Genomic DNA, 21,869 nt, shown 5'->3' with positions numbered 1-21,869 from the left:
ATTAAAAGAAAGCTGCAGTAACTATGTTAATATTGGACAAAGTAGATTTCATAGTAGAGAATGTTAACAGGGATAAAGAAGGTCATTTCATAATGATACACAGGTCAATTAACTAAGCAGACATAATAATCCTAAAAGTATCCCATGTGGTGACTTGTGCCTGTGATCCTAGCACTTTAGGAGGATCGCTTGAGGCCAGGGGTTCAAGATCAGCCTGGGCAACAGAGCAAGACCCCATCTCTATAAAAAAACTCAAAAAATATTCAGGCATGGTGGCACACACCTGTAGTACCAGCTACTTGGGAGGCTGAGGCTGGAGGATCACTTGAGCCCAGGAGTTCAAGGTTACAATGAGCACCACTACACTCCAGCCTGGGTGAAAAGAGTGAGACCCTGTCTGTTAAAAAAAAAAAAAAAAAAAACACAAGAAATTCCTAAAAGTTTATGCACCTAATAATGGAGCTTCAAAATACAGGCATATTAACTGTAAAGAGAAATACACAAATCCACAATTATAGTTGGAGATTTCAACACTTCTTTCAATAATAAATGAAATGAGTAGACAGAACACAGGTATGCCTCAAAAAATGTCAGCTACTGTTGTTATCAGTCACAGTTCAATTAACATGTGTTGAAGCTTCCAGAAGGGACCCAAGACCCTGCACTTCCTGAGAGATGTGCAGGTAGGTCTATCAAGTGTGTTAGGGAGCCCGGGGCCTCAGGAAAGGACACATCCCCCCACCCCCAGCACCTGCCCTTTTAGGCGCATTTCTTCTTGCTCTCTGGCTCCCCCACGTGGTCATCCTGGGTTCAACACGTGGCTGTTGGGCTGAGGGACAAGGCAGGACTGGCCGCAGGAGCTTTTTTTTTTTTCTCAAGGGTCTGGAAAGGTAGAGACCGCGTTAATGCAGACAGTGGCATGTCTGCAGGAGGGAGCAAAGGACTGGGAGCCAGGAAGCACAGAACTCCAAGCCAGCGGAGTCACTACTCTGCTGCAGGGGCTGAGGGGTGATTGCAGCAGGGGCCCTGCTAAGGCTTGACAGTGTTTGGGGTTGGGGGTGTAGGCAGAAAGGCAGCAGGGACCTGCAAGGCTGAAATGCTGGCTGGCCGGCTGATCTATCCTGGAACCCTGGAAGCCATCTGCTCCTTTGGTGAGTGGGGACAGGGACTCATCCACAGGGTGGAATAGTGACTTGGGGCCTCAACAATAGTCATAAACCTTATAGCAAAAAATGTCCACCCAAACCACAAAGCCAGAGAGTCCTGGTTTTATATCCAGGACAACAACCCTACTTTCTGGTGTTTTGGAGAGTTGGCAGAGCCAGACCATAAGGGTTGTGTGTGCTAATCCAGATTTAGACTCATTCTGAGGGCAATGGGAAGCCACTGAGGGCTTTCATCACAGGAGTTACACAGTTAAAAAATCTACATCTAGCAAGACTGTTAGAGGTACCAGAGATGGCCCAGGACTGCCACCTAGAATACTCATGCTTTTGTCCACTCATGCTTTCACACACCTCTTCTCGCTGGAGCCTCACAGGGTCCCATTTCTCAGAAGAGAAACCTGAGACTCAAAGAAACTAAGAGGCTTGTCCTGGCTCATATGTCAAGTATTTCGTCTACACAATCTGGATTAGAACCTAGCTATTCAGTCACCCAGGCCAAGGGTCTGTGTTTTAAGAAAACATTTACTGCCTTTTAATAATATGACATTAGGGCCAGGTGCAGTGGCTTACACCTGTAATCCCAGCACTTTGGGTGGCCGAGTCAGGCGGATCACAAGGTCAGGAGATCAATACCAGCCTGGCCAACATGGTGAAACCCTGTGTCTACTTAAAATACAAAAATTAGCCTGGCATGGTGGTGCACGCCTGTAATCCCAGCTACTCAGGAGGCTGAAGCAGGAGAATTTCTTGAACCCAGGAGGCGGAGGTTGCAGTGAGCACAGATTGCACCACTGTACTCCAGCCTAGTGACAGAGCAAGACTCAATATAAAAAATAAAAATAAAAAATGACATTAGGAACATATGAAAAGCATTTGGCTATTCAAACAACACAGAAACAAAGGGCAAAAGGTGAGAGCCTCACTCTACCCCTTTCAACGTCCACCCCCTTCCAGGGTGAAATCTCTTTCAGTAGTTAGCTGAGCACTACCAGGCCCTCGTTCTGCATTTACACACACACACACACACACACACACATACACACACACGTGTATATATACATGCAAAATACAAATGGCCTGGTCCTATGTGTACCGTGGAGGGACCTGCATTCATGCTGCACAATTCCGTATCAGTATATACAGATCCAAGTGTCCTTTGGAAGAGCACCTTGGTATTGGTAAGAACAGCTGGCAATTCCTTCTCAGCATCCCAGGAGCTCTCTCCACTGCTCACACTGCCCCTTAGGCACTCCCTGGACCCAGTGCCCTGGTAGTCCAGGCACCAGATGGCCAAAGAGAGTGGCCTCGATAGGGCAGCATCTCCCACAAATGACACCTGAAAGGACTTTAGAACAGTGCGTGGATTTTTTTTTTTTTTTTAGTCAAGGTCTCACTCTGCTGCCCAGATGGGAGTACAGTGGCATGTGGCATGATCATAGCTCACTGTAGCCTCCTTCTCCTCAGTTCAAGCTGTCCTCCTACCTCAGCCTCCCAAGTAGCTAGCACTACAGATGCACACCACCACCACACCTGGCCAATGTTTTTAATTTTTAGTAGAGACAAGGCCTTGCTATGTTGCCCAGGCTGGTCTCAAACTCCTGGGCTTAAGCAATCCTCCTGCCTTGACCTCACAAAGTGCTGACATTATAGGTGTGAGCCACTGTGCCTGGCTAGTGCCTGGCTTAATAAATATTTGTGGAGTAAATTTGAGGCAGTCCTTAGACACATATTAAAAGAAATTATAAGTATTCATTTAATGTGTGCTGAGAAAAAATTCCTAAGTACATCAAACCAGTGATTCGAGGATATTTTAAAATTTCCTTTAATGTAAGTTTATTTAAATTTAATAAAATAAGTCTATTTAAAGAGAAATGTTAAGTAAATAGTAGACAGGTGGAACATGAGCAGGGCCTGAGTCCTGAGTGGGGAAAGTGCCTGAGTGTGGTCTGGGAACGGCCATGGGAGGGGCTGGCCTTTGCAGCTGAGGGCCTGGGAGCCTGGTTTCCGAGGTTGCTGCCCAGGAACTGTCTTAGTCCATTTTGTGTTGCTATATAGGAATACCTGAGGCTGGGTAATTTATAAAGAGAAAAGGTTTATTTGGCTTGGGGTTCTTCAGGCTGTACAAGCATTACACCAGCATCTGCTTGGCTTCTGGGGAGGCCTCAGGAAGCTTTTACTCATGGTAGAAGGGGAAGGGGGAGCAGGCGTGTCACACTCGAGAGAGACAGCAAAAAAGAGATGCTAGGGTTGTCTTAAACAACCAGCTCTTGTGTGAACTAATAGAGCGAGAGCTCATTCATTATTGCAGGACAGCACCAAGTCATTCATGAGGGATCCACCCCCATGACCCAAACACCTCCCAACAGTCCCACCTCCAACATTGGAGGCCACACATCAACATGAGATTTGGAGGGGACACACATCCAAACCATATCAGGGACTCTAGAGGGTCAGGAGGAAGGGGTAGGACTCTGGGCCTGCTGGCATAAAATTTGAGCACTGGCTGCAAGGGATTGGAGTAGAAGGAATAGTGCTTATGTTTCTCTCTTGCAATCTGTGCATTCCATGTACCAAGAAAAGCGGCACCCAAGGCCAAAGGGACAGAGCTGCCGGGGTTGCCCTGGGCCGCAGTGGGTGATAATGAGAATCCAGTGGTGGGCAAGGACAAAGACTTCTTCTCTTGGGGCCAGCTTCTCCATAGGCAGCGAAAGGACTGAACCAAGCCATCAGAGGCCTCACTTCATCGTGAGGGCACCAGGAGCCACTGAGGGCTTTTTTCCTCCCAGGGGTGACAGGATAAGAGCACCGTTAAGACCACCAGAAGTATAAATTCTTTGGGGTATAATCCTAAATAGAAGAACTGCAGCTGTTTGGGTAACTGATTGTGGTCTTTAGCCAATAGCGATGATGTTCCTTAGCAAATGAGGCTTAAACTGAAAAAGGGGTCTAGGGTAGACTTGAAGGAGATTTGCTTGGTCACGCATGGGTGCCCAAGGAAAAGTCAGATATCAGAGACCTCAGAGATCTTTAAGGAGAAACTCCAAAACCCTCATTTCTGTGGTTGACAAAAGCACAGACAGCTCCCAGCGGCCTTCCTCGGTTTCTGATGCCTGTTTCCGATGACCTTTTGAGTTTGCCACTGGGGATTCTGAGCTCATTCCTGCCCGCTTCCACACCTGTCCCTCCTTCCTCCCCAGCTGCCTCCCTGTGGCATGGCAGAGACAAGACAGAACCTTGGGATTGTTGCTTTTGAAATGTTGAGGCCAAATGCTTATCTACAGGATGATCTCAATCATGTTTTGAAAAATGTATGAATGTTCAGGAAGAACATATAAAAATGTTAATAAAGAATGGTTCTCTCTGGATGGAGGAAAATAAATGATTTTCTTTCCTTAAAGAGCAGAGAGGGCCGGGCGCAGTGGCTCACACCTGTAATCCCAGCATTTTGGGAGGCCAAGGCGGGTGGATCATTTGAGGTCAGGAGTTCGAGACCAGCCTGGCCAACATGGTGAAACCTCAACTCTACTGAAAATACAAAAATTAGCCAGGCATGGTGGAGCACACTTGTAATCTCAGCTACTCAGAAGGCTGAGTGAGGCAGAATTGCTGGAACCCAGGAGGTGGAGGTTGCAGTGAGCTGAGATCATGCCACTGCACTCCAGCTTAGGCAACAGAGTGAGACTCTGTCTCAGGAAAAAAAAATATATATCAGAGAGGAGAAATGCCACTGAGACGAGACCCCCCTAAGCCATATATACCCGGAAGTAGCTGAGCTCAGATCTGAGCCCCTGCTCCCTTAAATCCCCCAAGAAAACAGCACTAGCACATGAAGTTAGCTCAGCCCAGGTCGATGATGTCAAGGTGAAAGAAAGCTCCATCTTGAGATTTAACAGAAAATCAAGCCAAGGCGGAAATGAGCACAAACAGGCTTTTTAGAAGAGGCAAGTGGGCCTGGAGCAGGGCCCAGGTTTTATTGATAGAGGGCTGGGTCCTGCCCCAGTTCTGCTGAAGCATGCAGGCAGGCCTGTCCAAGGCAAATACAGCAGCAGCCTGATCTGGCCAGCCCAGGAGCAAACCCCATGCCAGGCTGTTTGCCCACTGGGGGCGGTTCAGCTCCCACGCGGGGTTCTTGGCTCCTTCCTCTGCAATGTTTCAGTGGTGTTTCTGCTCTAGACAAGCCCTGATTTCACTTGCCAGAGGGTTCCAAGGTTGACTCCTCTCTCCAGCAGAGGAAAGGGGGTCACTCTGTTTCCAAAAACTCAGACATGAAAGCATCTCTTCACTGCTGACATTTGGAGGATGAGACAACGAATCCAGCCAACTCCAGGCCTTCCCTGGGCCTTTTGCCTGCCACACTTGGGAGCTGGCTAGCCCACTCTAGGGCAGGGTTTCTCAGTCTTCGCCCAACTGACATTTGAGGTCAGATAATTCTTTGTTGTGGGGGGCTGTTCTATGCAAAACAGGCCGGCTAGCAGCATTCCTGGCCTCTTCTAGAATCAGTAGCATCCTCTAAGTTGTGACAACCAAAAATGTCTCCAGACAAATGTCCTAGGGGGTGAGTAAAATTGCCGCCTTTTGAGACCTGCTGCTCTAAAGGAAGGAACAGAAAGAGACACAAAGAGGAGACCCAGGAAGTAATGGGGACAGCCAGGCTCCAGGGTGGCGTGCAGGGCTGAGGAGATCAGAAAGAAGAGACACTTGGAAGCTCCCAAAGAGAAAAGCAAATTGAGACCAGAAAAGGTTGTTTCAATAAGATTTTTAGGAAATGTTGCTATATGGTGTACTATGTAACCTCCTCCCTCTATCTTCTGAGGAAAACCTTCAGGAAACATCTGCATTGCCCATCAGCACTTTTGGGGGCCAGATGTGCCTCCTCTCCTTTCCCTGTGTCCCATCCTGGGTAGACAGTTCCTGCTAAGGGTAAGGCCCTTCCAAGAGGCTACATTCAGGCTACACCAGAAATAGTTACTATTCCAACGTCTGTGGAGCGATGTGCAGAGTTTTAAAATATACATTTTAGAACTAATCCAGCATCACCCTTATAAAAACATATATCATTCTTGCTTTCTAATAATTCTTTTTCCAGGGAGAGAGAAAGGCGTGAGGGAACAGCTGGGAGGCTGGTAACACCCATGGTGAATTAGGCATTTGAACACTGTTGATTGTGTTCCAGAAAAAGCATGTGATGGCTACTCTGGAGACCGGGGGGCTGCTCGTGAGTCTCCCATCCAGCACCTGGGTCCCCCAGTATAGTTTCTCAGAGCACCTTGAGATTTTCCGTCAGAGACACAGGATATATTTGTTTAAAGTCTCACTCCCTTACCCTACTGTAAGCACCGGATGTGTAGAAACCATGTCTGTAATTTTCATCATTAAATCCTCAGCATTCCTGGGCCTGGCACATGGTGAACACTCGAAACTTATTTGTTAAATGAATTAAAGGATGATATTCTTACTTCCCTGACTCGCAACCTTCAACCCACACATTAAGGCTTAAATCAAACATCACCTCCTCTGGGAAGCCTTCCCTGATTTCTCCCAGCAGAAACAATTGCACTATATATCCAAACACTTGGTTCATACTTTTATTGCAAAATGCATCACAGTGTATGCTATTTGTTGGTATTCTGCCTCCCCTGCCAGAATGCAAGCTGTCTGAGGACAAGAATTGTGACGTAGCATTTATTACCCCAACTCTCACCCATGCTTGGTACACAGTAGATACTCAACAAATGCTTGTTCAATGCAAGAAGCAATAAACACACTCCTCTGTCTCCATTCTAAATCCTAGAAATAAAAGTTCAGATACATCACAGTTCAAGTGTCTTTACAAAACCCAGAACCAAAAGCTGCTTTGGACATCAATTTTCTGGTTCTTTAACACAGGGAGAGAACATTTGCCCAGCCTCTCTGAAGGTTGGGCTGGCCTGGCTGGACAATGTGCTTGAGATGCCTCAGCCCCAGCATCCCCACTGTCCCAGGGCTATGAGGCCTTTAGGGACCGTCAGAAGGCTTCTCTGGAAGCCACCCCACTGCTCACTCATACCCACATCTCTGGCTCAGAGCCCTAAGCCACAATAGGCTCTGTACTTGGGGAGAACTACAGGGGACTTCTGAGTATCTTCAGAGTTCTCTGTGTCACTTCCCCTAGTCCCCTTGGAACAGGGTGTCTGTGAACTCCATCCAGTGCATGTGGAATCTGAGGCCTCATGCCACCTCCTGCTCACCAGAGCTCCTGGGAGAGAAAGTGGAGCCCGGGGCACCTGCAGAGGCTGTTCCCAGCTTGGTACGAGAGCTTTGGCACCTACCTGGCTGAAGGTCACGGTGAGGGTGCTTTCTGGAGAGGGTCTGTCCCGGGATAAACCCTCCTGCTGACTGCAGTCCAACTGGATCAGGCTGCGGCATTCTGGGTGACAGGTGAATTTACAGTCTGGAGGTAAAGAACAAAAGGGAGATTAGAGGACAGGCAGGATTCCTCCCCACTTTCACCCAGAGAAATAACCTTGGAGATTGCATTAGTTCCCAGTGGGAAGAGCAGTGCAGGAGAGAAGTGGTGGGGCGGGAGACAGCGTGAGAATGCCACCCTGCTCTCGGATCCCCCAGGAAGGATGCAAGTTAAGTGCTCTACGCGTTTGCAAACTGCTTTCACCTGCATTACTTTGTGTGACTCTGCAATCATTATTATTTCCATTTTACAGATAGAAAATCAGTGCCTAGAGACTGAGTGACTTTCTCAAGGTCAGAACTTCTGCCTCCCAGACTGGTGCTCTTTCTACCACTTTACATTAATCACCAGCACCCATAAATCCCTGGGGAAGGACTTGACTTTTATGGGCCTTATGTTGCCAATCTGTAAAATACAGGTTGTGCATCCCCAAGCTGAAAATCAGATCTCCAAGATGCTCCAAAATCTGAAACTCTTTGAGCATCGACATGACACTCTAAGGAAGTGCTCACTGGAGCAATTCGGATTTTTGATTTTCAAATTTGGGATGCTTGACTGGTATCATACATATTCCCAAATCTGAAAAAAGTCCAAAATCAGAAACACTTCCGGTCTCAAGCATTTCAGATAAAGGATACTCAGCCTGTATGGGTAATAGCTCCCCTGCCTGCTTCTAGTTATAAAGGAGGACATATCTTGAAGAATTAAAAGTGCTTCCAGAGACAAAGGCATTATCATCAGCAGGAAGTGCTGTTACCTCTCTCTGACCCGGCCTAGGCTAGAATGTGGGGATGCTACTCTGAATGCAGCTGAAATAGCCCACAGACCACATCCCAGATCCGGGGATTCAGCGGGGGAAGCACATTCCATCGACAATGTTCACTTCCATGGAAGCAGAGACTTAGTGACCAGAGTTGAAAAGAGCTTTGGGGACTACCTCAGAGATGGGGAAACTGAGGCCAGAGAGAAAAAGTGAGGTGCCCAATGACACACAGCTCATTGGTGGCAGCACCAAGGCTGCTAGTATTTTCCAGCTTTCTCAAGGGCTCTCTTTGGAGCCTCCTGGCAGAAGGGAGGTGAAGTCAAAGGCAGCAGGAGACTCAGGGAGGCGAGGGAAGGGCAGGGGAGCGGGGGTGGGGGGTAGTGAAGACAAGGTGGCAGCAGAAGAAAGTAACACAAGTCCATCCGCAGGGAAAATGCTCGGATCTGAGGTGTGGTCCTCACAGATAGCTGCCAGGTCAGCTGGAGTCACCTATTCTGGAGGTGCCTCAGCTCGGCCAGAAGGCCCAGCCTTCTAGGCGCTGGAATCTCATAAATTTTCCTTCTGGACTGTGAAGGCAAGTCATGAGGATGGGTTAGGGTGGGCGGGTTTTGTGGCAGGAGTCGTGACAGCCTGGACTTGATTGCATACCTGGGGATTAGGGGGCCACTTTTTGTTGATAAGGGCTCAGGCACCTCGAAATGCTTTTCCTTCCTTCTAACAAGCTCCAAAAATTCAGTACATTTGGTGTCGATTTTTAAAAGCCACCACAGCACACTCTATCTTGGCAGAGGGGTGATGGCTCCTTTTCTCCCCACTTTTGGGGAGCTTTGGAATGACACCCCCCTCTCCCCAGCTGCCCCTTCCCTTACTCCCCCAAAGATAAGCACCTGGACCATGTTTCTTGCACGGGTTTTGCCACTAATGTCCATAGGGGAGCACCCTGACAAATGTGGGGACACACAGAGATCCCAGAACCGCACGACCTTCCTACCCATGGCCTGACCACCTTTCTGTAACAGTGTCTGGAACCTTCACTGCTCATCTCCTTTGTGCTCGAAAGTGAAGCCCACCAATATCCTCTCCTTCAGATCCCACGCTTCTCTACGCCTCCCTCCTCCTCTCACTTGGAGACAGAAATGAATGAAGTCAATTCCCTGGGGCATGCACCCATCTACCTGCAGGCACCCACATGCATTTCTGGTCCTCCGTGGGAGACCTCTTGCTCAGCACAAAAACAGCCTCCCCTTTAGTAAGGTGAAGGGTACAAAGGGAAGTGCAGGCCAAACTTCTGCCCGCAGTGCCCAGAAATACCAGGGTTTTGATAAGGGAGCACTGAGGCCAGAACCCACAATGGGCAGCATTGTTCCTGGCGCTGGCCCTGGGACACACCTGTATGGCTCTGGTAGAGCTCTGAGCGATGAAGAATGCTCTGAGGATGCCAAGAAATGGCAGCAAGGAAAAGGAGGAAGGACTGAAAGCTCGCCCAGCTCCACGGTGATGACAGCTGCCATAACTCACAAATGGGAAGGCACCTGGGAGAGGAGGAATTTCTCTCTCCTCCTCTTTTAGCTCCTTGTCCTGTTGGCACAGGCAGTCTATGTCCACCTGTGCATCTGAATCTCTCAATTTCCATCTCTCTCTCTCTCTCTCACACACACACACACACACACACACACACCACACACACACAGACACACACACACACACACCCTGAAAACATCACCATGCTGAGCTGGACAACACTAAGTAGCAGAAGACTCTGAGAAGTGTTCTGGGATTTTATAAGAAGCATGTTTGAGCACCAAAGACTTTGTTCCATCGGACCATGTAATCACAGGCTGCAGCAAAACCTCTGAAGCACATCTTCATACTTCCTCGTCCTGGAAATGCCAAGCCCAGGGCTTTTAGGCCAGCAGAGATGAAGTCAGAGCCCCCATGCCTTTCTCCAAACCCAAAAGCAACAGCCTGCAGGCCTGACATTTTCAGGGATTGGGGAGACCCATGAGATTCCAAAGACAGAGCCACATTCCACTAGACCCAGTGGTTAATTCTCCACAGACCACAGTTCCCTTAAGGCAGCTCGTCACCAGCTGCTGCCAAACCAAACCAACCCCTGCCCTTGGTATTCCACTGTCCTCCACAGCCTTCAGCTGGTGCTCAATTTATGTTTTGTTTTTTGTTTTTTCTTTTTGAGGCAAGGTTTCACTCTGCCACCCAGGCTGCAGTGCAGTGGCACTATCGTGGCTCTCTGCAAACTCCACCTCCCGGGCTCACCTCAGTCTCCTGAGTAGCTGGTACTGCAGGCGCCCACCACTGCACCTGGCTAATTAAAAAAGGGTTTCACCATTTTTCCCAGGCTGGTCTCGAACTCCTGGGCTCAAGCGATTTGCCCACCTCTGCCTCCCAAAGTGCTGGGATTACAGGTGTGAGCCACCGCACCCGGCCAGGTGCTCAGTTTGGATGAGGAAGGAGGGAGGGAAAAGTGAAACTCTGGGTGGAGCATGGCTTCTAGGAAGGAAGGGTTCAGCCCTCCCTGGGCAGCTAGTGCCATCGCCTCTGGCAGCAGCATCAATGTCTGGAGCATGGGGGCTTCCTCGTGCTCTGTGCTAGCCCGAGGGTGAGGATGAATTAGAAAAGAAACCTGGGAAACCCAGGCTCACTGGGCAGATGTGATGCACATGTGAAAAGATAACTAACAACAGAGACAGCCCAAAGCAGGGGCCTGGCTGTGGCACAGACCTAGGAAGCTTGCTCAACTAGAGACAGTTGCCAGCCAGAACAGGCAGGGAGGGCTTCAGGGTGCAGGCAGCTCTGGGGAGCTTCCAGAGGAGATGAGACTCCAGGTAAATCCTGTGACCTTATCACAGGGGCCAAGAGGAGGCAGGGGATTCTGTCATCACTAAAGAGGACAAGGATCTTGCAAACAAGAGGCAGCAACAGATTAAGGAGAAACTAGCTGTAGTTTCTCCGGGAGAACAGGCATTTCTTGATATTGACATTGCCATCTGTAAAATCAAATGATCCTTTCCCCTTTGTAGCCTTTCCTTCCAATGACAGACCCTATCCCTATTGCTAGGGGATGCTTTGAGGGAAGTAAATGTGCTTCCAGGATTTGGAAGAGGGGCCTATGAAAGTATATAGAAGGAGGCAACTGTAAAGGGAAATGAAGGAGACAAACCACAATAGGAGCCCCTCTCCCCAGAAGGGAGCCACAACCAGGAGCTGGGATGGAGGGCCAAGGACCTCAGCACCCAGGACCACTGGAACCAAGTACCATGAACCAGGTGACTTAAACAGAAAATTACTGTCTCGCAGTTCTGGAGGCTAGCTTGAAATCAAGTGTTGGCTGGGCCAGGCCCGCTCTGAAATATGCAGGAGAGTCCTTTGTTGCCTCTTTCTGGCTTCTGATGATTTGCTGGATTCCTTGGTGTGCAGCTGCATGACTCCAGCCTCTGTGTCCATCGTCACGTGGCGTTCTCCCTGTGCTTCTGTCTTCTTATAAGAATACCAGTCATCTTGAATCAGGAGGCCATCCTACTCCAGTGCGACCTCATCTTAATGACACCTGCAACTACCATATTTCCGAATAAGGTTGCATTCTGAACTACTGGGGGTTAGAACTTTTTTTTTTCTTTTTTTAAGACAGGGTCTCACTCTCTCACCCAGGTTGGAGTACAGTGGCATGACCATAGCTCACTATAACCTCGAACTCCTAGGTTCAAGCCATCATCCTACCTCAGTGTCCTGAGTAGCTAGGACTACAGGTGTGTGCCACCATGCCCAGTTGATTTTTTTGTTGCTGTTGAAACAGGGTCTCTCTATGTTGCCCAGGCTGGTATCAAACTCCCCGCCTCAAGTGATCCTCCCACTTCAGTCTCCCAAAGTGCTGGGATTACAGGCATGATTCACCATGCTCAGCCTGGGCGTTAGGACTTAAGTATATCATTTTTGGGGAAAGCCCAGTTCAATCCACAACACGGACCCTCCCTGGGCCATATTAGGAGCACAGAGCCCTTAGGCCCAAACAGATGGCGGTTTCTAGTGGAAACCTCCTCCAGAGATCACAGTGGGCCGGCAGGACAGGACAGGGAGGTTAGGGAGTGGTAAACTGAAGCCAAGACGGCCTGCCTACTTCTACCAGGCCTGCTTCTGGGCTTCACAGTCCCTGAAGGTTACCGCCAAGTCACCACTTCAAACATGGCCCACAGGCCATGGTGGCCTATGCTTGGAGATGGCATTACTTCTTTCACTGTAGCCCTGAAGAAGTAAAGCCAGAAGGTGGAACTACACAGGACACAGGAGTTCCATGGCTAGGAGGCTGTTTTTCCAAAATTTAGAAGCTACAAACCTCCCCTTAATCCCCAGGGCTGCCAATGTTAGTTTTTGCCCCAACCCAGTTGCCAAATGCACACACACACAGAGGCACACACATGCACCCTCTGCCGTGTGGCTGCATAGCCTGAGTGGCTATTTTCTGAACTAGAAAATGGGTATGTTGATAAGAACTTATTCTGTTGATAAGAAACCCTTAAGGCCCTTTCACCCGAGTTGCATGCAAGATACAGAGACAACATAGAACTCTCCATTTAACTCTCCCCTCCTCCAGCCCAGGCCAAGGTGTGGGTAAGGGCCAGGCGGGCACCAAGGCGACTGAGCCTGGATGACACCAGAGCTACCAGCCTCCCCTATGGTCAATCCCAGGTCAGTGAACAGCAGCTTCTCACTCTGCATGGACAAAGCAACTTCCGATGCCTGAGGGAAAGCAGGACAACTTCTGAATCCGGGAACGTATGCGCATTCTCTGAACATCCCTATGCCTTTTTGAAGAAAGCCAATCTTAAGCAAACCTTAACACCCCCTTCCCTCTCTCCCTGAGGACCAGCAGCCTGGCCTATGCTGTGATGTCATGGAAAGAGAATGGACTTTGAAGAAAGTCCTCCAGGCCTCCAGGCCCCGCTCAATTAGCTCTGTGACCCTGGGTAAGTTATGAACTTCTCTGAGCATTAATTTTCTCTACCCTAAAACAGGAATCATAGTAGCCAGTTCCTAGGGCTGCCATGAGGATTAAATGGGGTTCCTGATGTCAAGAACTACATAGAAGCCCTGGAAGGTGGAGGTTCCAAGTTAAGAGTTAATGATCCATCCCCTACCCTCTCCTTCCACTGCTCTGCTATGTGGATTCCTGAGTCTCACCAACCTTATTCCTATAGGTATTTCCAAAACAAGCACACAAATCACTTTTAGTTTTAAGATAATTTTGTTCTTAGGCACTACAGGGAAATCTGAAAAAATAATATGCATTGGAAAATTACAATTTACCAAAGATTTTTTTTTTCTTTTTTGAGACAGAGTCTCACCCTGTTGCCCAGGCTAGAGTGCAGTGGCGTGAACTTGGCTCACTGCAAGCTCCGCCTCCCGGGTTCACGCCATTCTCCTGCCTCAGCCTCCCAAGCAGCTGGCATTACAGGCACCCGCCACCATGCCTGGCTAATTTTTGTATTTATTTATTTATTTTTTTTTAGTAGAGACAGGGTTTCACTATGTTAGCCAGGATGCTCTCGATCTCCTGACCTCGTGATCCGCCTGCCTTGGCCTCCCAAAGTTCTGGGATTACCGTGCCTGGCTCAATTTACCAAAGTTTTAAAAGGGCAGGTGTAAAGCTTGTCCTGATCCTCTTGAATAAGTCAGTGGGGACTGTCACCATCTCATGGTACCTGTCTTCAATCCCTTTTCAAGGGGATTCTCCTTTAAGAATCCCCCATTTTTCCACTGGGTGTTGCCCCACTGGAGCCTCTGGGCTGGACCAGCTATGGCAGCTCCAAGAACACCCAGAGAGGGTCTCCAGCGCCCTCTGCGCACAGACCATCCCAGGGCAGCTCCACCACCTCCAGCCCCCTGCACCCTCACCCTGCAGCCTCTACCCTGCCAGCTCCCCCAGCTAGGATACCGCCTCTCAACCTGGCCCCAAGATGTCCCTTCAGACTCAGGTTCTCATACAATAGACACAGTTGTTCCCTCTGCAACCTCACCGCCTGCTCCGGATCTCCTCGGCCACAGTTCCTGAATGCGACCCTTTCTGCAGCCCTTTGCTCTGGGCCCTGCTCCGAGTTTGGGAAGCCCATTCACTAGCAAGCATTCAGAAAGGGACTACTACAAATTGGTTGAGTGACTAAAGGAAGGAATGCTTCTCTGCTGCCCTTTGTTGAAGTGGAGAGACCAGAGTGCGAGTGCTGATCCGACCCCAGGCCGGTGTCCTAACCTCTAGTGGCCTTGGTTTCCTCATCTGTTAAATGGAGATGATAGCAGTACGGTTGTTGAGAATCAAATGAGAATGTTATGTAAATAACAACACAACACTTGCTACATACTAGGTGTTCAATAATATTAGTTCTCCTTTTTACCTCGCTAACATCCAAGTCTGTCTGGCCAGTGGCCACAGCATCAGACATCCTCATCTCAAAAGCCCGTCTGTGCACACCCCATCAGTGCCCACTGACCTTCCTCCAGACCTTCACCTGGAGGTGCATCACAGTCATAAGGAAAAGGTCTTGATCATCCTCAGACCTTCCATGGCTCCCCTATGAGCAAGGGAGGCCCCAGGGCTCAGCTCCCTGCAGCGGGGAGGGGCTGGGTGTACTTGCTTAGAGTCTGTAAGGGGTAACCCTGCCCCACTTGGCAGAGAAGCCTCTGCCGGCCCCCTGGAACATCCCTCCTCCCTGCTTTTCTACTCACCCTTCCTCCAACATTTGAACTTCTAAAATCTCACTCTAGTTTCAGAAAAGAAAATTGTTAACCAAAGTTAATAAGTTCCAGTATTAAAGGGGATGTGGGGGAATGAGAAGGTACTACCTTATTGGTGGTATCAATTTCCTGCAGGAATTTATTCTGGGTATGTATTTACTCATATCTAAATATATTGTCACTAAAATGTTCATCACATAGTTATTTATGACAACAAAATGCTAGCAATACCCCCACATCCATCTACAAAAGACTAGTTATAATTATATTTTGAAATGGAATACTATGTAGCCATTATATAAGATGATGCATATTGATATTGGTCAACATGAAAATATGTCCACAACATACATCTAAAAAAGGAAAAAGATTGTGTTTTATGATTTCAATGATATAAAATCTATACATACTTATACATTATGCAGAGAGCTGTCTGGAAGGCAGGTCACATGTTTGCTTTGAGTGATGGGATTTCAAGTGCTTTTCCTACCTCTATAGTTACTAAATTGTTTAAATTTTTATAATGGAAATATATTCTTTACTAATGGAAAAATGCCACAAAAAGGGAACAAAGAAAAATCACGTACCCACACTGTGATGACATCAGGTACCATTACTCAGTACCCACCATACACCAGGTATTCTACATGCATTATTTCATATAATCCATACTATGACTGGGCAATATGTGTTTCTACCCCAATTTTTAATTTTTATTTTATTGTATTTATTTTTTTTGAGGCAGGGTCTCACTGTGCCACCCAGGCTGAAGTGCAGTGACGTGAACATGGCTCGCTTCAGCCTTGACCTCCCAGGCTCAAGCAATCCTCCCACTGAGTAGCTGGGATTACAGGCACACACCACCACACCTGGTTAATTTTTTTTTTGAAGGAAAAATTGTAGTATTTTAATTATTTTTATGTACAGAAAACTCAACAGTGTGCATTTAACCCGGTTTAGTGGCAAGTTCTTTAGCCTTTGCCTTTTTGAATTTGGCGATGTGAGCCACAGACTTGGGACCCAGGACATTGCCGCCCCAGTGACAGTGGATGTCATTGTATCTGTCATTGTAATCGGTCCTGATAGCTTCCACCAGCTTAGCCAAAGCGCCCTTGTCTTCTGAGTTAACCTGTGTGAAGGCGACAGTGGTGCAGGTCTTCCTGTGGACTAGACGTCCCAGTCTTGCCTTCTCCTTGATAATGCAGTAAGGGACCCCCATTTTATGACACAGGGCAGGCAAGAAGACGACCAGCTCAATGGGATCCACGTCATGTGCAATCACCACCAGCTGAGCTTTCTTATTCTCCACCAAAGTGGTGATGGTGTTAACTCCTGCTCGAAGGACAGGTGGTCTCTTAGTGGGGACGTCCCCTTTGCCGGCAGCTCTCTTCTCAGCCTGGGCCAACGGCCTCTGCTTCTTCTCTTGCTTTGTTTCTGGTCTGTACTTGTGGGCCAGCTTAAGCAGCTGAGTAGCTGTTTGGCGGTCCAGGGCCTGGGTGAACTGGTTAATCGCAGGAGGCACTTTCAGCCACTTGTAGAGGATGGCTCCCTGCCTTTGCAACCTGATATAGCAGGGCCATTTCACAAAGCAGGTGAGGTCTCTTTTGGGCTGGATGTCCTGTCCAATGCCAAAATTCTTAGGCCTTTTCTCAAACAGGGGATTCACCACTTCCTTGGCCTCCTGCTTCTTCACGACAGGAGCCACCTTCTTCCCCTTGGCCTTCTTTCCTTTCAGCATCTTGGGCAATGCGAGGAGAGAGCTAATTTTTTAATTTTTTGTAGAGACGAGGTTTCATCATGTTGCCCAGGCTGGTCTCAAACTCCTGGCCTCAAGTGATCTCCCTGCCTCAGTCTCCCAAAGTGCTAGGATTACAGGTGTGAGACACTGTGCCTGGCTACCACTAATTTTTTTAAAATAGACTTTTTTGGAACAATGTCGGTTCACAGTAAAATTGAGCAGGAAATACAGAAAGTTCCTTTATACCCCCTGCCCCTACATATGCTGCACAGCTTCCCCTATTATCAGCATCCCCCACCAGAGTGGTACATTTGTCACAACTGATGAACCTACACTGATTCATCATGATCTCCAGAGTCCATAGTTTACATTAGGGTTCACTCTTGGTGCTGTACGTTCTATGGCTGTGGACACATGTATAATGACATACACCCACCATTATAGCATCAGGCAGGGTAGTTTCGCTGCCCTAAAAACCCGCTGTGCTCTGCCTATTTATCCCTTCTTCCTCTCTAACCCTGGCAACCCCTGATCTTTTAACTGTTTCCATAGATTTATCTTTTCCAGAATATCATATAGTTGGAATCATAAGATACGTAGCCAATTTTCAGACTGGCTCTTTCACTTAGTACTATGCATTCACTTAGTATTATCTCCCTGTCTTTTTTTTTAATTAAAAAAATTGTGGGTACATAGTAGCTATATATATATTTATGAGGCTCCTTGTCTTTTCATGGCTTGACAACTCATTTCTTCTTATTGGTGAATAATATTCCGTTATCTGGATGACCATAGTTTATTCATCTCTTCACTTACTGAAGGACATCTTGGTTGCTTCCAAATTTTGGCAACTCTGAATAAAGTTGCTATAAACAACTTTATTCAGGTTATTTTGTGGACATAAGTTTTTAACTCATTGGATCTACTCCTATTTTAGAGATAGGGAAATTGAGACTTGAAGAGATAAATGACCTTTGGCAGCCTTGTAGCTGGCGAGCAGCAGGGTGGAGAGTGAAGATGCATCATGCCTGGCTGCTCCTCAACAGCCCATTCCTCAGAACCGTCCCCTCCACTTGTTCCTGGTCCCTACTCTGCACTGCTTGAGGCCAGGGATGGGCTTCACTGGGGATGGGAGTCAGGGTGGCCCAAGGCCAGAAAGAGCCTGGGTTGAAGGCATTTGGGCAAGGAGTGCTTTTTCCTCTGTCCTAGCAGGGAGCAGGGAGAGTACCCCACCTGAGGCTTCGGTCCTGTCTTTGGAGGGCCTGGGATGTGCCACTTCACAGCTCTCCTCCAAGCTCAACCAAGCCACTCAGCCTTGGAGGCTGCCAGCATCCTGGGAGTTTCTGAAGCCACCCATACTGTCTGCCTGCTCTGAATTGGTCCTCCATCCATGACCCCTTTGTCTCTGGAACACCATATCTGCGAGACTTGGAACCACCCAGGCAGCAGCCAAAGGTTCCTGTCCTGAGCTCTCAGGACAATTTCACCAGAAAGGCCAGCACTTCAGCCAAGTTCAGGCTCCACAAGACAGCAGGCTCTCAGCCTTCCCCACTCAAAGAGGCCCAGCCTCTGCAAACCCCCTCCCTATGACACCAAAATGGACGCCAAGTTCCCAGAACCAACTACCTCAGAGATTGGCACCAGAGCGCACCCACTTACCAGCCATACATCAGAAATCCTTACCCAGATGGTGTGATCCCTTGAAACACACTGCTTAACATGTGTGATAGAGGTCTTAGAGAATGGGTGGAAAAGATGGAACACTCAATCGGGTGCTGGGGCGTGCAATGAATCTGGACTCTGGAGTCACATGAATCAGGGTTTGAGCCTGAGCCCTCCCTCTAACTGGGTATGAGAAACCTGGACAATTAACCTCAGTTAACTGTGGAATTTAGTTAGCCTCAATTTCCTCAACTGCAAATGGCGGTGGTAGTATCTTTCTTGCCAGCAAATTTGTTGCCAAAATTAGAGAGTATGTATGCAAAGCATCCAACGGCACCTGGCATATGGTAGGTGCTCAATAAATGGCAGCTGTCATTTTCAACGCTATGAGATGCCTGAGTCCACCCAGCTTCCTGTGGACTCAGCATGTGATGCCAGCCAAAAACCCTCTCAATTTTCAGGTCCTCTTCTAACGTATTAGGGTAAGAAGAACTGTGCAACTTTCCTGCTCATCTGAGTTCCTCCCACCTGCTCCCACTTCCCTCCAACTTCTGCCTTTAATGGGTGCAGAGGAGTAAGGCAGGGGGGCTGGAAGGATAGGTCATGTTGGTGAATGGGAAGGCGGAGAGACTGTGATAGTCAAGCCTGGAGGTCTGCAGCCATTGCCAAAATCAACATGATCTATAAGTTTTTCAAACTCCTGGCTAAACTCCTAGTGAGGCTGGCAGCAAGGGAATGGAAACTCCCCACTCCAAGGGTCAGGCAGCCAGGTCAGGACATCTGCATCCTTATGTTTCCAGGAAGGAGGCAAAGCTCAGCCCTCTTGAGACCACTTACTGTAGTTCCTTGATTTAGAGGACAGACCACCCTGGGGGCATTCAGCATCCTGCAGCCCAGCCCGGAGGGCCTGGAGGCACACAACTGCTCCCTCCCTCCACACAACCCCAGCCCCAACTCCAACACACACACACACACACACACACTGCCAGAAAGCAAGCCAGGAAGCAAACAGGAAAGGTCAATGTAATGGTAAGACGAGTGTCCTGCAACTCTAAGGTCAGAGATGGCCAGCCCCTCATGTGGACAGGCAAGATGGGCAGCTGACACACAGGGGCTGTCGTCTCTGTGAGAACAGCCAAGAGGGGATGCACCTGAGCAAGCTCCAGTTTGGTTCAGATGCTGAGTTCCCATGTAAAAGAGTGGGTTGGGGTGGAGGGCTTTATGGAAGCAGGTTCCTCCAAGGCCGGTGAGAAGGGAAAGTGCTGGACAGGTGGGGTGAAGCTGGGAGCCTCTGCTGAACTGAGGCACAGGAAAGAGAGCCAAAGACCACCCCAAGATCCTGGTCTTTACTCTCTTCCAAAATGACTGTATCAGTTTTCTGTGTGGCAGGGCTGGATGGGATTGACATACACTTTTAGCGACCATTTTGTACTAAAGGGAAAGGCATAAGATCTGCTCAGTTGTTGCTCAGACACCAAAGTAGATATTAAAATTCTCTCTGGGGCCCTCAAGGTAGCTCACGCCTGTAATCCCAGCACTGTGGGAGGCTGAGGCAGGAGGATTGCTTGAGGCCAGAAATTTGGGACCAGCCTGGGCAACATAACAAAACAATTAAAACAATTTTGTTTTGTTTTGTTTTGTTTTTGTAAAACAGCTCTCCAAAACAATTAAAACCTTAGTGGGGTGGGGGATGGTGTGTGCCTGTAGGCCCAGCTACTCAGGTGGGTGAGGCGAGAGGATGGCTCAAGCCCAGGAGTTCAAGCTTGTAATGAGCTATGATCGGTCCATTGTACTCCAGCCTGGGGGACAGAGTAAGACCCTATCTCTAAAAAATAAGAAAAATTCTTTCTGGAACCTGGGTCCCTGGATCTAATGTATCAGTGATTTATTCTCCAAGCCACATTCCCAGGAAGGCTGGATGTGTCCCCTGTGCCCTCCTCCCAAACACACCCAACCTGCCTGGCAGAAGTTGGGCGCCCTGGTTGGCCTGCAGGGGCACCATCCTGTCTCACGTGGGTGGGTGTGGGTGGGTGTGCCTCTCGGGCAGGCACATTAATCATCCATCTCCAACACAACCACACATCCCTAGGCTGAAAACATCAACAAAAGGAAGGTACTGTGGCCAGGCCAGGCTGGGTGTGTTGAAGTAGGGGTGTCTTGGGAGGAGTGGGCAGAGGAAGAGAGGGCAGGATAGTTCACAACAAGTTCAGACAAATGATGCAGGAAGTAAGAGGAGTGCCTGCCAGGCACCCAGGACAAAGGAGACAGGCCTGACCCCTGGCACCTTCTCCACATGGCCTGTTTCCACAACTTTGTTCTTTGGGGGTGCTGTAGCCCGAAGCATGTCCCCACTCTGCCCTGTGCATGTGTGTGTGTGTGAGTGTGTGTGTGTATGTGTGCATGTGTATTATAAACAAATGTAATGGTGTTGAGCCATTTTTAGCAATCCGTGCTTCAACTATAGACTATATTAACTGACTCCCTGCTAGGACAAGTGAAAGCAATCCTTCCCATCTCTTCTGCCCCATCCCCTATTTTTTATATATAGATAATATATAATATATTAAATATATATTATATATAATATATATTATACATAATATATAATATATATTTTATATATTATACATAATATATATTTTATATATTATACATAATATATAATATATATTTTATATATTATACATAATATATTTTATATGTATTTTATATATAAACATATATGCACTCCAGCCTGGATGACAGAGCAAGACTCTGTCTCAAAAAAAAAAACCATATATATATTTATATATATAATATATAGAAAATATATTATATATGGTATCTATAATATATAAAATGTATTACATATGGTATCTATAATATATATAAAATGTATTACATATGGTATCTATAATATATATAAAATGTATTACATATGGTATCTATAATATATGTAAAATGTATTACATATGGTATCTATAATATATATAAAATGTATTACATATGGTATCTATAATATATATAAAATGTATTACATATGGTATCTATATTATATATAAAGTATATTACATATGGTATCTATATTATATATAAAGTATATTACATATGGTATCTATATTATATATAAAGTATATTACATATGGTATCTATAATATATAAAATATATTATATATGGTATACATATTATATATAAAATATATTATATATGTTATACCTATTATATATAAAATATATTATATATGGTATACCTATTATATATAAAATATACTATATATGATATACATATTATATATAAAATATATTATATATGGTATATATATTATATATAAAATATATTATATATGGTATATATATTATATATAAAATATATAT

The 21,869-nt window shown here is 47.2% G+C and overlaps 1 protein-coding gene and 1 pseudogene across 2 annotated transcripts in view, besides 4 other annotated features; both read right to left on the bottom strand.

The window, feature by feature from the left end:
- Positions 1–21,869, bottom strand: part of RASSF5 (Ras association domain family member 5) — an 81,918-nt gene that overhangs the window by 43,681 nt on the left and 16,368 nt on the right. For both annotated transcript variants that reach the window (NM_182663.4, NM_182664.4), the window contains exon 2: positions 7,475–7,596. In NM_182663.4, the coding sequence (NP_872604.1) occupies positions 7,475–7,596 (122 nt within the window). The remainder of the gene's footprint in view (positions 1–7,474; positions 7,597–21,869) is intronic.
- Positions 494–1,036: an enhancer, noted in NCBI's record as "H3K4me1 hESC enhancer chr1:206718061-206718603 (GRCh37/hg19 assembly coordinates)". NCBI's record gives its function as "activates a minimal SCP1, AML or CMV promoter by ChIP-STARR-seq in naive H9 embryonic stem cells {active_cell/tissue: H9 hESC(naive)}" and the evidence as "EXISTENCE:reporter gene assay evidence [ECO:0000049][PMID:30033119]".
- Positions 494–1,093: a biological region, named in NCBI's record as "H3K4me1 hESC enhancer GRCh37_chr1:206718061-206718603".
- Positions 854–1,093: an enhancer, noted in NCBI's record as "active region_2404". NCBI's record gives its function as "activates an Ori minimal core promoter by ATAC-STARR-seq in GM12878 lymphoblastoid cells {active_cell/tissue: GM12878}" and the evidence as "EXISTENCE:reporter gene assay evidence [ECO:0000049][PMID:35858748]".
- Positions 1,037–1,581: an enhancer, noted in NCBI's record as "H3K4me1 hESC enhancer chr1:206717516-206718060 (GRCh37/hg19 assembly coordinates)". NCBI's record gives its function as "activates a minimal SCP1, AML or CMV promoter by ChIP-STARR-seq in naive H9 embryonic stem cells {active_cell/tissue: H9 hESC(naive)}" and the evidence as "EXISTENCE:reporter gene assay evidence [ECO:0000049][PMID:30033119]".
- RPL7AP20 (ribosomal protein L7a pseudogene 20) lies at positions 16,002–16,875 on the bottom strand (annotated as a pseudogene).

The sequence above is a fragment of the Homo sapiens genome, chromosome 1, assembly GCF_000001405.40.
Source record: "Homo sapiens chromosome 1, GRCh38.p14 Primary Assembly".
NCBI lineage: Eukaryota > Metazoa > Chordata > Mammalia > Primates > Hominidae > Homo > Homo sapiens.
Note: the sequence above shows the minus strand (reverse complement) of the source record. Positions and strands in the feature narration are given on the sequence as shown.